Consider the following 13,861-nt stretch of genomic DNA (forward strand, 5'->3'; position numbering starts at 1 on the left):
TGTTTTCTACCAAACATTTAAAAATAAATTACCACCAATCATTCTCAAACTCTTCCAAAAATAGGAGAGGAGGAAACACTTCCTAACTCATTTTAAGAAACCAGCATTACTCTGATACTAAAGCCAGATAAAGACACAAGAAACGAAAACTACAAGCCAATATACCTTAAGAATCCAGAGGCTAGCTGGGCGCAGTGGCTCATGCCTATAATTCTAGCACTTTGGGAGGCTGAGGCAGTTAGATCACTTGAGCCCAGGAATACGAGACCAGCCTGGCCAACATGGTGAAACCTAGTCTCTACCAAAAATACAAAAAAATAGCCAGGCATGGTGGTGTGCGCCTGTAGTCCCGGCTACTCGGGAGGCTGAGGTGGGAGGATCACTTGAGCCCATGCCACCACACTCCAGCCTGGGCAACAGAGCAAGACCCTGTCTAAAATAATAATAATAATAATAAAAAGCAATACAGAAAGTTACATGGATGTAAAAACCTTAACCAATTTAAAGCTCAGTTTTCCTGAGTAACTGAAACCTAATAAAGACAACATAGGAAATTGTCTTGGTAAAACATAAATTCTTTGTTTTTTTTTTTTAAGGCCAGTTACCAAAAAGATTAAGAAAAATTTCCTGTACTGTGATTGCTTCTCTTTATAGGAAGGCTGTTTAGATAACCTGAAAGTTACACCTGATGAAAAGAGTAATAAAATTTAATCAGACATAAGAAGAATGTGTCCAAGGTTATGAGGGTACACTGTATTATAGAAGAAAGTAGGCCAGGCATGGTGGCTCATGCCTGTAATCCCAGCACTTTGGGAGGCTGAGGCAGGAGGATAACGAGGTCAGGAGATTGAGACCATCCCAGCCAACATGGTGAAATCCCGTCTCTACTAAAATACAAAAAAATTAGCTGGGCATGGTGGTGCACGCCTGTAGTCCCAGCTACTTGGGAGGCTGAGACAGGGGAATCGCTTGAAACCGGAAGGCGGAGGTTGCGGTCAGCCGAGATCACACCGCTGCACTCCAGCCTGGGCGACAGAGCAAGACTCCATCTCAAAAAAAAAAAAAAAAAGGAAGAAAGTAAACAAACAAGAAAACTTGTACCTTGATAAGGGGAATAGGTGATTCTTAGCAACAGGATGGGAAGTTTTCTGGCAAAAATTCAGACACATCAAGAGTAGCCAAGAGTACAGAATCAAGGTATAGTGAAAGAAAGCATTGTTCTTCCAGGCCTTTAAGATAAACATTTCAGTGTCAGGCTATAAGGGCAGAGTTAGACTGGAGAAAAAAAAGTTATAAGAGGTGATGAAAAGGTTGAAGGAAAGAGTCACTATCCCAGGCAAGGTCTTGCTCTATTGCCCAGGCTGGAGTGCCGTGGTGTGATCATAGCTCACTGCAACCTCAAACTCCTGGGCTCAAGTGATGCTCTTGCCTCAGCCTCCGAAGTAGCTAACACTACAGGTGGTGTACCACTACACCTGGCTAATCTTTAAATTTTTTCATAGAGAAAGGGTCTTGCTATGTCGTCCAGGCTGGTCTTGAACTGGCTTCAAGTAGTCCTCCTGGCTCCCATTTCATAATTTTTAAAAACATGTTTTTCCATAATAAAATTTTTGGATGTATTAATAGACCCAATAAATGTAATCTTTTACAAAATGTAAGCATCAAAGAACACACTTGTATTTATATTCAGTAATTTTGTTCATTAAAAAATAATATTTTTCATATGGTTCATAAAAAATAATGTGTTCTTGTATTTCATTAAAAAATACTATTTTTTAATGAAACAAATTGACCCAGACATTTAACGAATATCTATTATTTTGTTTAACCTAACATAACTTCAAAATTTCAAATTACATGAAAAGTTCATTTATAGACATTTATCCTATTACATTTACCTAAGTTATTTATGTTTTTTTTTTCAAGACCTCACTCTGTCATCCAGGTTGAAGCGCATTGCCGCAACCTCGGCTTACTGCAACCTCCGCCTTCCTGGTTCAAGCGATTCTCCCGCCTCAGCCTCCCGAGTAGCTGGGACTACAGGCATGCACCACCATGCCTGGCTACTTTTTATATTTTTAGTAGAGATGGGGTTTCACCATATTGGCCAGGCTGGTCTCGAACTCCTGACCTCGCGATCTGCCCGCCTTGGCCTCCCCAAGTGCTGGGATTACAGGCGTAAGCCACCGTGCCTGGCTAGTCTTTGGAATTTTACCTGCGGGATTTTTTTGAGGCCTGAATTGAAGATACATTTCTCCATAAAACAATTTTAATTGCTTCCTCTGAGAGCCTTGTGGCTCCACCAACCGGGCTATTTTACATCACAATTTTGGCTTGAGGTGTTTCAGATCACCCGGTTTGCACGAATTCAGGCTTCAGACCTCAGTGAGGACTCTCCTTGTGGCTCTGCATCCTCAGCCTTTACCCACTCCACGCAGGAGATTTCACTTGCAGTGCCCTGGGGAGGTGGGTTTCCTCTTGGTTCACTCTTACATTGAGGATATGACCCTTTGGGGTCTGTAGCAAACACATCTGTTCCTCCTCATCATGCCCCCTCTGTCTGCCTCTGGTCTTAGCCTCAATTGCGGTGGAAGGTTCTGTGTGAACTCTGTCTCAGCTTTCATTTCAGCCACAGTTCCAGTGGCTAGCTCCTGCCTAACAAGCTCATACTCAACTTGTACTGATAGAATCCCACTACAAATGCATACCTCTATGTTCCTGCTTTTGTCCAAGGACTTTTGCCAAAGCCAGCATCTGCTTGGCTTGCATGGCTGGGAAGTCCCTAAGTGAGGGTGAATCGATGTCACTGAAGACAGTCCTCACCCATAGGAGTGGAAGCTGGTGATAAATGCTCCAGCCTCCTGTCCTATTGGACAATTCCGATACATTTTCTCTGTGCTTCTCAAGATGCCCTTACAGAATCTGTAGGAGAACCTCACATACTCAACCTTACACTGCTCCTCCAACTTCTCCCTTTCTAGACCTCCCTGGTTCTCGCTCTTTATTTCTGCAATCACCTCCCAAATAGACTGCCTGCATCCATGTGCTTGTTTTAGGTTTTGATTTTTGTTTGTTTGTTTGTTTTTTTGAGACAGAATTTTGTTCTTGCTGCCCAGGCTGGAGTGCAGTGGTGCGATCTCAGCTCACCACAACCTCCGCCTCCTGGGTTCAAGAGATTCTCCTGCCTCAGCCTCCCAAGTAGCTGGGATTACAGGCATCGGCCACCACGCCCGGCTAATTTTGTATTTTTAGTAGAGACGGGGTTTCTCCATGTTGGTCAGGCTGGTCTCAAACTCCCAACCTCAGGAGATCTGCCTGTCTCGGCCTCCCAAAGTGCTAGGATTACAGGCAAGAGCCACCACGCCTGTAATCCCATTTTTAGGGAACCTAAAAGAAGATATAACCCCACTGCTTTTGCCAGAACAAAAATTTTTTTCTTCTTTTAAATTTCTTCCTCTCCGCTATAGGTGTCTGAGATGGGACAGACACTTATGAGATGAGAGTCCTGGAATTTTCCAAATTTTACATTCATCTTGTGGCATTCTTTATAGATAACATTTATTCATTGGAGCCTGGTGTGGTCTTTGGGCAAAACACCTAACTGTAAAGAAAACTCCAGTTGAAATTTTGCAACCATTATGGCTTTTTTGAAAGTTAGAACTATTCATATACATATTTCCAACTTCCTCTCAAAAATGGCAGATGAGTCAAGAATGTAAGTCAACAGAACGGGTAAATTGGGAAAGGCTAGAATTTTGAAATCACAGATACCTGCTTCCAAAACAGTCCCCGCGAGGGCAGTAATAATGGAGTAGGGCTGCATGCTGCCACCAGAGGGCAGCAGAGGCCGGGAACAGGTGGAGAGGCAAGGCCCAGTTATTCTTACCGTCTGAGATCTGATGCAGACAAGACAAGCATTTATTGGGCTCTGTTACAAGTTGGTCATTGTGCTGGGCACAATAAAAAATCACACAAAGTTCAAAGGCAGAGATCAGAGGTCAGAGCCAACGGGGGAGTGGAACAGAGCAGAATTAAGAGGGCTGTTCTTCAGATCAACTAAGGAACTCCCAAAGACAGCATGTCTGGAAATACAAACACAATACCAGAAATAAATATGATGGCTATTTTTTGGTCTGTTCTTGACCATGGAAGCTGGGTCATCCCTGGAGAATCAGGCGAGGCAAATTTGTAGGGCCACTGAGGGTCAGTCAATCTGCAGATTTACTTTATGCTGATCAGAATTTAAATGGCCCTCTTGGCTGGGTGTTGTGGCTCATGCCTGTAATCCCAGCACTATGGGAGGCTGAGCTGGGGGGATTGCTTGAGGCCAGGAGTTCGAGATCAGTCTGAGTAACATAGAGAGACCCTGTCTCTACTTAGAAAAATTAAAAAATTAGCTGGGCACGATGGCACATGCCTGCGGTCCCAGCTGTTTGGGAGGCTGATGTAGGAGGATCTCTTGAGTCTGGGAGGTCAAGACTGCAGTAAGCTATGATCGCGCCACTGCACCCTAGCGTGGGCAACAGAGTGAGAACCTCTCTCTATAAATAAATCAATAGCTACCTCCCTGAGCAAACATAAAACTTTTTTGGTTTAGTGTCTCTCCCACTGCAGGAATAAACACAATCCCACGTCACAGGTCTAGGCTTTTCCCATCAGGCCAGATGTGTTGGCATTTTGATAATATCCTGTGCTTGCTCTAACATCTAATCTTTGACTCTTACACTTGATGGCAAAATCCTCCAGCTCCCCTAGATGCTCACTGAGGTGGGGGCTGCTCCGTGAGCACTAACTGCTTGGGGATTGCAGGCCTCGTGGCCTTCCTGTATTTTGCCCTGCTGTGAAAACGCAGGCAATATGGCCGGGTGCGGTGGCTCACTCCTGTAATCCCAGCACTTTGGGAGGCTGAGGTAGGAGGACTGCCTGAGCACAGGAGTTTGAGACCAGCCTGTGCAACATGGTGAAACTCCATCTCTACTAAAAATACAAAAATTATCAGGTGTGGTGGCGCGCACCTGTAGTCCCAGTTACTTGGGAGGCTGAGGTGGGAGAATGGCGTGAACCCGGGAGGCGGAGGTTGCAGTGAGCCGAGATCGCGCCACTGCACTCCAGCCTGGGCGACAGAGCGAGACTCCGTCTAAAAAAAAAAAAAGAAAGAAAATGCAGGCAATTACTTCTGCACTCTCAAGTCCCTGTGAGGTGGGACTTGCTCTCTCTCCAAAAGGCCTTGTGGATACTCCCAACCCCACTGGACAGTTACAGCGGTGCAATGGGGAGCTCTGGGAGAATCTGTCAGATTTTCACCAATTGGACTTTTCATTAATAGGTGGGCTTGGTTTCGTGTTGTCACTTTTTTTCTAAATCTTCTCATTACCATGCTAGAAACTCACTTTATTTTTTGGCCTTTCTTATTAGTTTTGTTTTACTTCCTTTTTTTTTTTTTTTTTTTTTTTTTTTTTTTGAGACAGGGTCTCACTCTGTTGCCCAGGCTGGAATGCAGTGGTGTGATCACGGCTCACTGCAGCCGCAACCTCCTGGGCTCAAGTGATCCTCCCACCTCAGCCTCCCAAGTAGCTGGGACTACAGGTGTGCACCACCACACTCAGGTAATTTTCTTTATTTTTTGTAGAGATGGGGTCTCACTGTGTTGCCCAGGCTGGTCTCAAATTCCTGACCTAAAGCGATCTGGCTGCCTTGGCCTCCTAAAGTGTTGGGATTATAGGCATAAGCTTCCATGTCCCGTCTGTTTCACTGTTTGTTTGTTTGTTTTGTTTTGTTTTGTTTTGAGATGGAGTCTTGCTCTGTTGCCCAGGCTGGAGTGCAGTGGCACAATCTCAGTTCACTGCAGCCTCCACCTCCCAGGTTCAAGCAATTCTCCTGCCTCAGCCTCCTGAGTAGCTGGGATTACAGGTGCATGCCACCACGCCCCCCAGCTAATTTTTGCATTTTTAGTAGAGATGGGGTTTCACCATGTTGGGCAGGCTGGTCTCGAACTACTGACCTCAAGTGATCCGCCTGCCTCGGCCTCCCAAATGCTAGGATTACAGGTGTGAGCCACTGCGCCCGGCCTGTTTCACTCTTCTTAAAGAAAATTTTCAATTTTTTTTTTTTTTTTGCTAAATCTTGCTCACCTTAGGCTTTTTCTCCTGCTGTGGCCATGTGTGTTTACACTTGCGGAGCTCCTCCTGTGTTCTTCCTCTGCCTCCCTCCCCCTGGGTGTGATGGTCTAGGGTGAGCTGCTCAGCTCCATCAGTAAATGAAGGTTATGAGTTCTGCTGCTTGGACGGGCTGGGTTCCGGTGACAGGCTTCAGGGACTCGAGTGATGGGTGGCTCCGACGGGTCCTACTTATCTTCGGGCTGGGAGCTGCAGGCATAAAGCTGCCCCTATGACTGCCAGAGCAGGGAGACACAGCAGAGTTCTGGGCTCCCTCCGAGGCTCCCCAACATCAGCTTGCTTCCGCTTCCGTGTCCTCAGACAGGTGAGTCCAGGGCCTACCCCCCTGGACCTACTGAACTAGACCCTGAGTGCGAGGCCCTGGAGCTGCACTTCGACAGCTTCCTAGGTGGTTCCGATAGGGCAGCAGAGAAAGACAAGCAACAGTTTCACCGAGACTGAGCTGCTTGAGGTTCTAGTTCCCACTATGGGCATTTGTTGCTGGAGCCTTTCTCCCTCTGTTTTAGGAAAGTCGACTGGAAGCTCAGTTGGGGTTAGATAAACTCCAGAAGAGATCCCTCCCCATTGGCGGATCAAAGTGGTTTGTGGGCACAATGCATCCCAGGTGCAGGCAATAAGAGGAGATGCTGTCTGCAGAGAATTTAGAAACAGAATAAAGCTGAGTGAGAGAATAAGAGTCAGTCAGCTTTCTCCTTTTGTTTTGTTTTCTTTTGTCTTGTTTTCTTTTATTTTTAGAGATGGAGTTTTGCTATTTTGGGCAGGTTCGTCTTGAACATCTGGCCTCAAGCGATCCTCCCACCTTGGCCTCCCAAAATCTTGGGATTACAGGCATGCACCATCGCGCCCAGCTGAGAGTTGGTCAGCTTTTAATCATCACCATGCCCCAGCAATTCTACCCACCCTGGTCAGGGCTAGAATCTCCCTCCCTGGGGACCAATCCTCTGCCCCTCTATCCCTCCCCACACCACTGCCCCTTCCCAACCACGAGGGAGTCTGATGAACAACTCATTTTTGTTGGTTTCTTTTCAGTGTTTTATTTTTCAAAATATACAATTTAAGTTTTTATTTCACAACCGTAGTTTTGTATATTTATTCCAAAATCTTTAAATAGCTCCGCAGCAAACAGTACAAATCACAAGGTCCGTCAAACTGCTTCTCTTTAGCCTTTACACTTGGCGAGTTTTTTAAGTTTCAAGTAGTAATGGTTTGTGGGTAAGAAAGGAACCAAAAACAGGAGGAAACAACATTTTTTACATAAGCTCAACATGTAGGATTAGAAAGGGCCGTCTGACCAGCTCCTTGGTCTGGGACCAGACTAAGAACATGTATCTGGTTTATAAATAAGACCGTCCTGGGAGCAGTGAGGGTTTTGGTTACGAGGAGGAAGGGGCAGGAACCTCATCTGCGGAGGCTGGGAGGCAGGGGGAGGTGAGGCACTGAGAGGTGGCTCCTTCTGGGAGCGCCCGAGTAGGGGCCTGAGCGGGGTGGAGGCCAAGAATGGCCAGGGACGGGGTGGGGCTGCCACTGGTGGAGAAGCCTCCTCAGCCTCCCTTGGGGAGAAGGGCTGTGATTCTGGAGGCAGGGGAGGGACGGCAAGAAAAGCTGCCAGGTCCTAAAGCAAGCAGCTGGGACTCCTGCCAGCCACCCTGGGCCCAACGACGCAGGCAGCTGGCAGGGCCAGAGGGGCTGCCCCAGGGTCTGGGGTGGACTGTGGGAGGCATCACGCTGTCTCTTCTTGCGAGAGCTCTTTGTCCACCTCAGAGCCACCAAAGCCTCCCCAGAAGGGACAGCAGGGAGGACAGGGACCACAGATCCCACAGACCCACTTCTGACTGTGAAAGCGAGCTGTGCCGTGCAGGCAGCTCCTAGGCAGCCCATGAGGCTAAGGCACAAGGGTGACACAGGTGGCCACGAGGGCTCAGTTTTCTTCATTTCCCCTTGCGGCTGCTACCTGTGGCCACGGCCTGAAGCAGTCCTGTGGGCTGAGCTCTAGGCAGGGACGCTCCAGGAAGAAGTGGGTCACCAAGGGCCACCTGGCCACCAAGTGGATGTGACCCTCCTACCAGGGGTCAGGAGGGCGGTCCTGCCTCAGGGCCCCCTCAGCACCTTCCACTAGGCTGCAGGGCCGGACACAGCCCATCCTGCCTGGCCAAGCCAACCTTCTTAATGGGGTCTGAATGGCGGGTGGGGGTCGGGAAGGGGCCAGGGCCGGGCTGAGGGCAGGACGGAGGGGGTGGGAGTTGTCACTGCGTCTTCAGGTGGGGTTTCTCTGGAGTGAGGGTGTGGAAACAGTAATCCCACAATTTAGTGCTGATACCAAATCCTAGAGAGGGAGACAAACGGGGAGAAGATGAGGCATTGAAGGAGCAGGCGTGCGCTGGCTTGGGAAGGGTGCCAGGGTAGGGATAAGAGGTGGAGACAATGTCAATATCTGTCCCCTTGGCCTTCCCAACTCCCGAGGCCATTCTGGCAGAAGTCAAGGGTGGGGAACCTGTGTCTTTTATTGTCCCCAGCATGAAGCTGGAATAAACCCTAATTCCTTATCTGGCCTTCGTTTCTAGGCTACGTGGCCCCCTCCCACCCCCCACCTCCATCTCCTTCCCCTTCCTTGGGGCCCAAGTTCATTCCTGCCTCAGGGCTTTGCACCAGTCGCTCTTGGGACGCCAGATGCTGATTTCTCTTCATTAGGGTCTTAGCTCTAATGGCACCTCTGCAATGACACCTGGACCATTTAATCTCTTTGCTGTCCAACTAGCCCTTAGCCACACATGGCTACTGAGCACTAGAAATGTGGCTAGAGCTCCAGAGAAACTGAATTTCTAACTTCATTTAATTCTGATGAATTAACATGTCAATGTAAAAACTGATGCTTGATTGAGTTACTGGAATTTTTTTTTTTTTTTTTTTGAGATGGAGTTTCGTTCTTGTTGCTCAGGCTGGAGTGCACTGGTGTGATCTTGGCTCACTGCAAGCTCCGCCTCCTGGGTCCAAGAGATTCTCCTTCCTCAGCCTCCTGAGTAGCTGGGATTACAGGCGCGCACCACCATATCCAGCTAATTTTTTGTGTTTTTAGTAGAGAGGGGGTTTCAACATGTTGGCCAGGCTGGTCTTGAACTCCTGACCTCAGGTGATCTGCCCGTCTCGGCCTCCTCAAGTGTGTTACCGGAAAATGTTTAAGCATGTTTGGAGCAACTTACCTATGTGAACTACTGTTTGCAAATTTTATAAAATCTAGATATGGATCTAGTATTTCTAATGAAACTTTAGTATCTGAATTGAGATGTGCTGTAAGTACAAAATACACCTTAGATTTCAAAGACTTAGTATAAGAGTTGCTAATTATTTTTTTTTAAAGAGACTTTACAAAAAGGGTCTCACTCTGTCACCCAGGCTGGGGTGCAGTGGCATGATCATAGCTCATTGCTGCCTCAAACTCCTGGGCTCAAATGATCCTCTTGCCTCAGCCTTCTAGGTAGCTGAGATTACAGGTGCATATCACCACACATGGATAATTAAAACTTTTTTATGTAGAGACAAGGTCTTGCTATGTTTCCCAGACTGGTCTGGAACTCCTGGCTTCAAGCAATCCCCTGCCTCCGCCTCCTATAGTGCTGGGATTATAGGCCTGAGCCACTGCGCTCAGCCATTAATGATTTTTTAATGTTGATTACATGTTGAAATAATAATTTGCTTATGTTAAGTAAATGTTATTAAAATTCTTTTCATCTGTTTATTTTCATGTCTTAGTGTGGCCACTAGAAAATTTAAAATCACATATGTGGCCCACATAATATGTCAGTGGAAATCGCTGGACCCTCCCCCACCTATGTGATATTCCATCACCTTGCTTTACTTTCTTCTTCTTCTTCTTTTTTTTTTTTTTTTTATAGACAGAGCCTTGCTCTGTTGCCCAGGCTGGAGTGCAGTGGTGCAATCTTAGCTCACTGTAGCTTCTGCCTCCTGGATTCAAGCTATTCTCATGCCTCAGCCTCCCAAGTAGCTGAGATTATAGGTGGGCACAACCACACCCCGCTAATTTTTGTATTTCTAGTGGAGACAGGTTTCACCATGTTGGCCAGGCTGGTCCCAAACTCCTGACCTCAAGTGATCTACCTGCCTCGGCTTCCCAATCCCCTCGGCTGGGATTACAGGTGTGAGCCACCACACCCAGCCCCTTTATTTTCTTTATGGCATTTATCACAGTTTGAAATCTTTGCCATTTATTGATGTCCTTGCCTGTCTCTGCACAGCTGTCTGCACCAGGGAAGAGAGTAGAGGGAACCCTCTGTATATGCCCCGTACATGGAACAGTGCCTTGCCGTTCCCAGGAGCTCGATGGTAGTTGGCAAATAAATCAATGAACACACATAGGGGGCTGGGAAGCACAGGCCCATCCTCACCTGACTTCTGATGTGCAAAGTGGTGCTTGACGTGGTGGGCCTTCAGGCTGTACAGGTAGGAGCCCTTGTGCGGCGAGCCAAAGTGCAGGTAGTAATGGGTCATGTCATAGAGGACGTAGCCCAGGAGGCCCCCCGCAAACACAGTGCCCCCTACTGCCTCGGGCAGGATGAGCTGCATGCACAAGTAGAAGACGCCGATCACCAGGGAGGCTGGCACAGGGGGGAAGACCAGGCGGGAGCCGTCGAAGGGTGCCTGCAGATGGAGAGGCTTGGGCATCAGGAGGCAGCCAGGGGCCCCGGCAGCTGGCCAAACCCTGGCCACTCCCTGCAGAGGACAGGGGCACAGCGGCCCAGACATTCCACTGCGTAGGCTTGGCACCTTTGGTGGCTTTGGGGAGGGCGGGCCACCACGTCTGGAAGATCTGGAGAGACTGTCTTACTTCCCATTTGTGAGCCAGGAAGGGACCTGGCAGATTGCAAAGGAACATGGGATGGGCGGGATGGGCAGGATGGGCAGGATGGGTGGGGTGTGCTGGCGGCTCAGAGCCCATCTTATAGAGGCCACTGTGACTCTGGAATTTGTCAGGTGCTAGACAGGTATCCCATCCCTAAATGCCGTGCCCCTGGCTAGAGGGGCATTCTGGAGACAGGGCACCTAGACTGAGGCCTGATGTTGTCTGGGAGAGCAAGGCACTGAGGGCAACTGAGGTTAATGCAGCCTCTGTGGCGGGATGACCCGGAAGTGTCACTAGAGGTGTCCTCCCCACCCCCATGTCCAAACAGGAGGCCTTTTTTGTTCCAAGGGGGTGTCGCCACAGTGAACCAGAGAACACCGCTTCACCGTGGCCCTCGAGCTTCAGAAGCCAAGGGCCTGGCATAGAGGTGAGATCTTAGCTATGGCTTGGTGAGGAGTCTGAGAAGAGAATCCTGCAGCCTCTCTGGGCTGGAGGAGAGAGAGAGAAAGCAGGTGACAGTGACACAATGAGATGCTGGCGTGGGCCTCCCTCCCTTCAGACCAGGAACAACAGGACCAGTGATGTGCTGGAAAACCAGCTCTCAGGAAAAGGAGGAAGGGAGAGAGCTGGGGAATGAGGGAGGGGGAAATAAAGGGAGGGAGGGAGAGCCCTGATTGGTAGTGTTTGCCAATTCCTGCAGTGTGAAAACTGCCCTGGCGCTTTCAAGCGCTGAGGTGGCGTCACTGGAACAGAAACAGGAAAGGATGTGCATGGGTGCTCTTGTGAGCTGGTATGGGCCAGATCCGGGTCACAGCTGGATCAGGATCCTTAGATGGATAGGTCTGGGGATCTGAGAACACGTTCCTGATTGGAGCCCACGTGGCTACAGGCCATACAGTCTCCTCGGGTCCTCATGGTGTGGCAGCAGGGGACTGGACAGACTGGGGTGGAAGTGTCTCAAAAGAGGGAGCCTGAGACAGCCCCTGGGGCCCCAGAATGGCCTGAGCAGGTTCCCAGAAGGTTCTGGTGTCCCCTGTGGATGGGAAAGATAGCGGACAGGGCAGTGGATCTGAAAAGGCTTCACAAACAGGGCAAGGGACACAGAAGCAGATGCAGTGAGCTCTGCAGAGCAGAGGCCAGGTGAGGCTGGAGGACACAGGCCAGGCCTGGGCTGCGCTACCTCTGAGAGCATACCTGAGAGACAGGTTGGCCCAGGACTGGGCACCCACCCTGATACTGGCCCCTAGGAAAGCCCCCTAGGATGCAGATCAACTCTGGGGAGAGCCGGGAGGACCACAGCCAACCAACCTGAGAACTGTCCCAGGCGGCCGATCAAACCCCGAATCGGCTCATCGAGATGAACCGGATTAAGTTGCTGCTGGGAAACCAAGGTGAAACCCACGTTCAGTATCAGCGACATCAGGGTCTAAACTGGTGTCCCGAAAGTATCATATCTGCCATATTTTCTCTGATTTATGCCCAGCAGAGAACAGAGTGTGGAGACGGGCTGGGGAACAGCCTGGGATGGGCCAAGGACAGCACAATGCAGGGACAGAGAAGCAGCGGGGGGTACAGGGGAGGTAGCTTCCTTTGGGCAGACCTATCTTCTCGGGCCAGCTTCTGGGACTGTCGTGGAGTCCTTGAAGGGCCTCAGGGGAAGGGTGATTGAGAGCGCAGACTCTGGAATCCCCAGAATGGGGTACGACATCCTGGCTGTGCCAAGTGTGACCTGGGGCAAGTTCCTTAGTCCTCCTAGGCCTCAGTCTCCTGCTCTGTGGAACGGGGAGAACCATGGGGCTGTTTTCAGCACAAGCTCCAGGAGCGCAAGGCTTTTTGTTGTTTTGTTCAATGATGTCTAGAACAGTGTCTCGCACACAGGAGGCACTCACTGGGCATTTGCTGAATGAATGAACGAATGAATGAGTTGTTTTGAGGATTAAAGGTGATGCGTAAACAAGGGTGCAGAGGGCCTGGGGTCAGCTTGATGCTGCACACCCACGCTGTCCCCGCCTGGCTTAGGTTCGGATGCCCAACCCAGTTGCCCCGTGAGTCACATCAAACGTCCCGTCCCTCCCAACCCACAGCCAGACTCCCAGGAGGCTCCGCAGCACCTGAAGCTGCGGCTGGCTGCCGGGCCCTCTCGGGCTGCACATGCTAGGTCCGGGCTGGGACCCCGCCCCGCTCACCTTGTGGTGCTGGCCGTGCATGACGAAGTGCAGCATGATGAGGTAATAGCTGTCGCTGGGGGGCTTCATGTGGAACAGGAAGCGGTGGATGAGGTACTCGATGAGGCTCCAGAGGAATGTCCCCAGCATGAAGAGCCCGGGGAACATGGACTTGGGCACTGCCACCGTGTACTCTGCAGGGTGGCAGGGAGAGCGAGGTGAGGACCGGTGCATAGCAGCCTGGTAGCTCCAGGTGTCCCTGCCTCACCATCCCCATCAGCTCGGGAGCTGCTGCCCTCTGTTGGACAGCTACAGGGCCAGGCCATACTGCTGGGGTCCTTGAGTCAAAATGGGAAGGAGGCTGTAGGACTCTGGTCTGGGTCTGGGAAGTCCTTTACAGGAGTGATGGGCCACTGGCTGGAGGCCTGACATCCTCCTTACAGAGGCTGTGGGAGGAGTGGCTGTGGCTGGGGCTGGGCCTTTACCTGGAAGGGTGACCTTGCCCCAAGGACATTGGAGAAGAGAAGGCGACACTCCTGAGCCAGGGCGTTGTTATTATTATCTTGAGACAAGGTATCTCTGTGTCGCCCAGGTTGGAAGACTGGAGTGCTGGAGTGCTGGAGGGCAGTGGTGTGATTACAGCTTACTGCAGCCTTCCCTTCCTG

General features: G+C 49.9%; 1 protein-coding gene across 3 annotated transcripts in view; it reads right to left on the minus strand.

Moving 5' to 3' along the window:
• The window catches only part of FA2H (fatty acid 2-hydroxylase), a 61,852-nt gene continuing 55,189 nt past the window's right edge, over positions 7,199–13,861 (minus strand). For 2 of the 3 annotated variants that reach the window (NM_024306.5, XM_011523319.3), the window contains exons 5-7: positions 13,218–13,390; positions 10,577–10,829; positions 7,199–8,499 (exon numbers count right to left, since the gene is read on the minus strand). In NM_024306.5, coding sequence (NP_077282.3) covers positions 8,420–8,499; positions 10,577–10,829; positions 13,218–13,390 — 506 coding nt within the window. In that variant the 3' untranslated portion in view covers positions 7,199–8,419. Of the gene's footprint in view, positions 8,500–10,576; positions 12,804–13,217; positions 13,391–13,861 lie in introns of those variants that run through there. The other variant, XM_011523317.4, reaches the window with a different exon arrangement.

The sequence above is a fragment of the Homo sapiens genome, chromosome 16, assembly GCF_000001405.40.
Source record: "Homo sapiens chromosome 16, GRCh38.p14 Primary Assembly".
NCBI classification, from domain to species: Eukaryota; Metazoa; Chordata; class Mammalia; order Primates; family Hominidae; genus Homo; species Homo sapiens.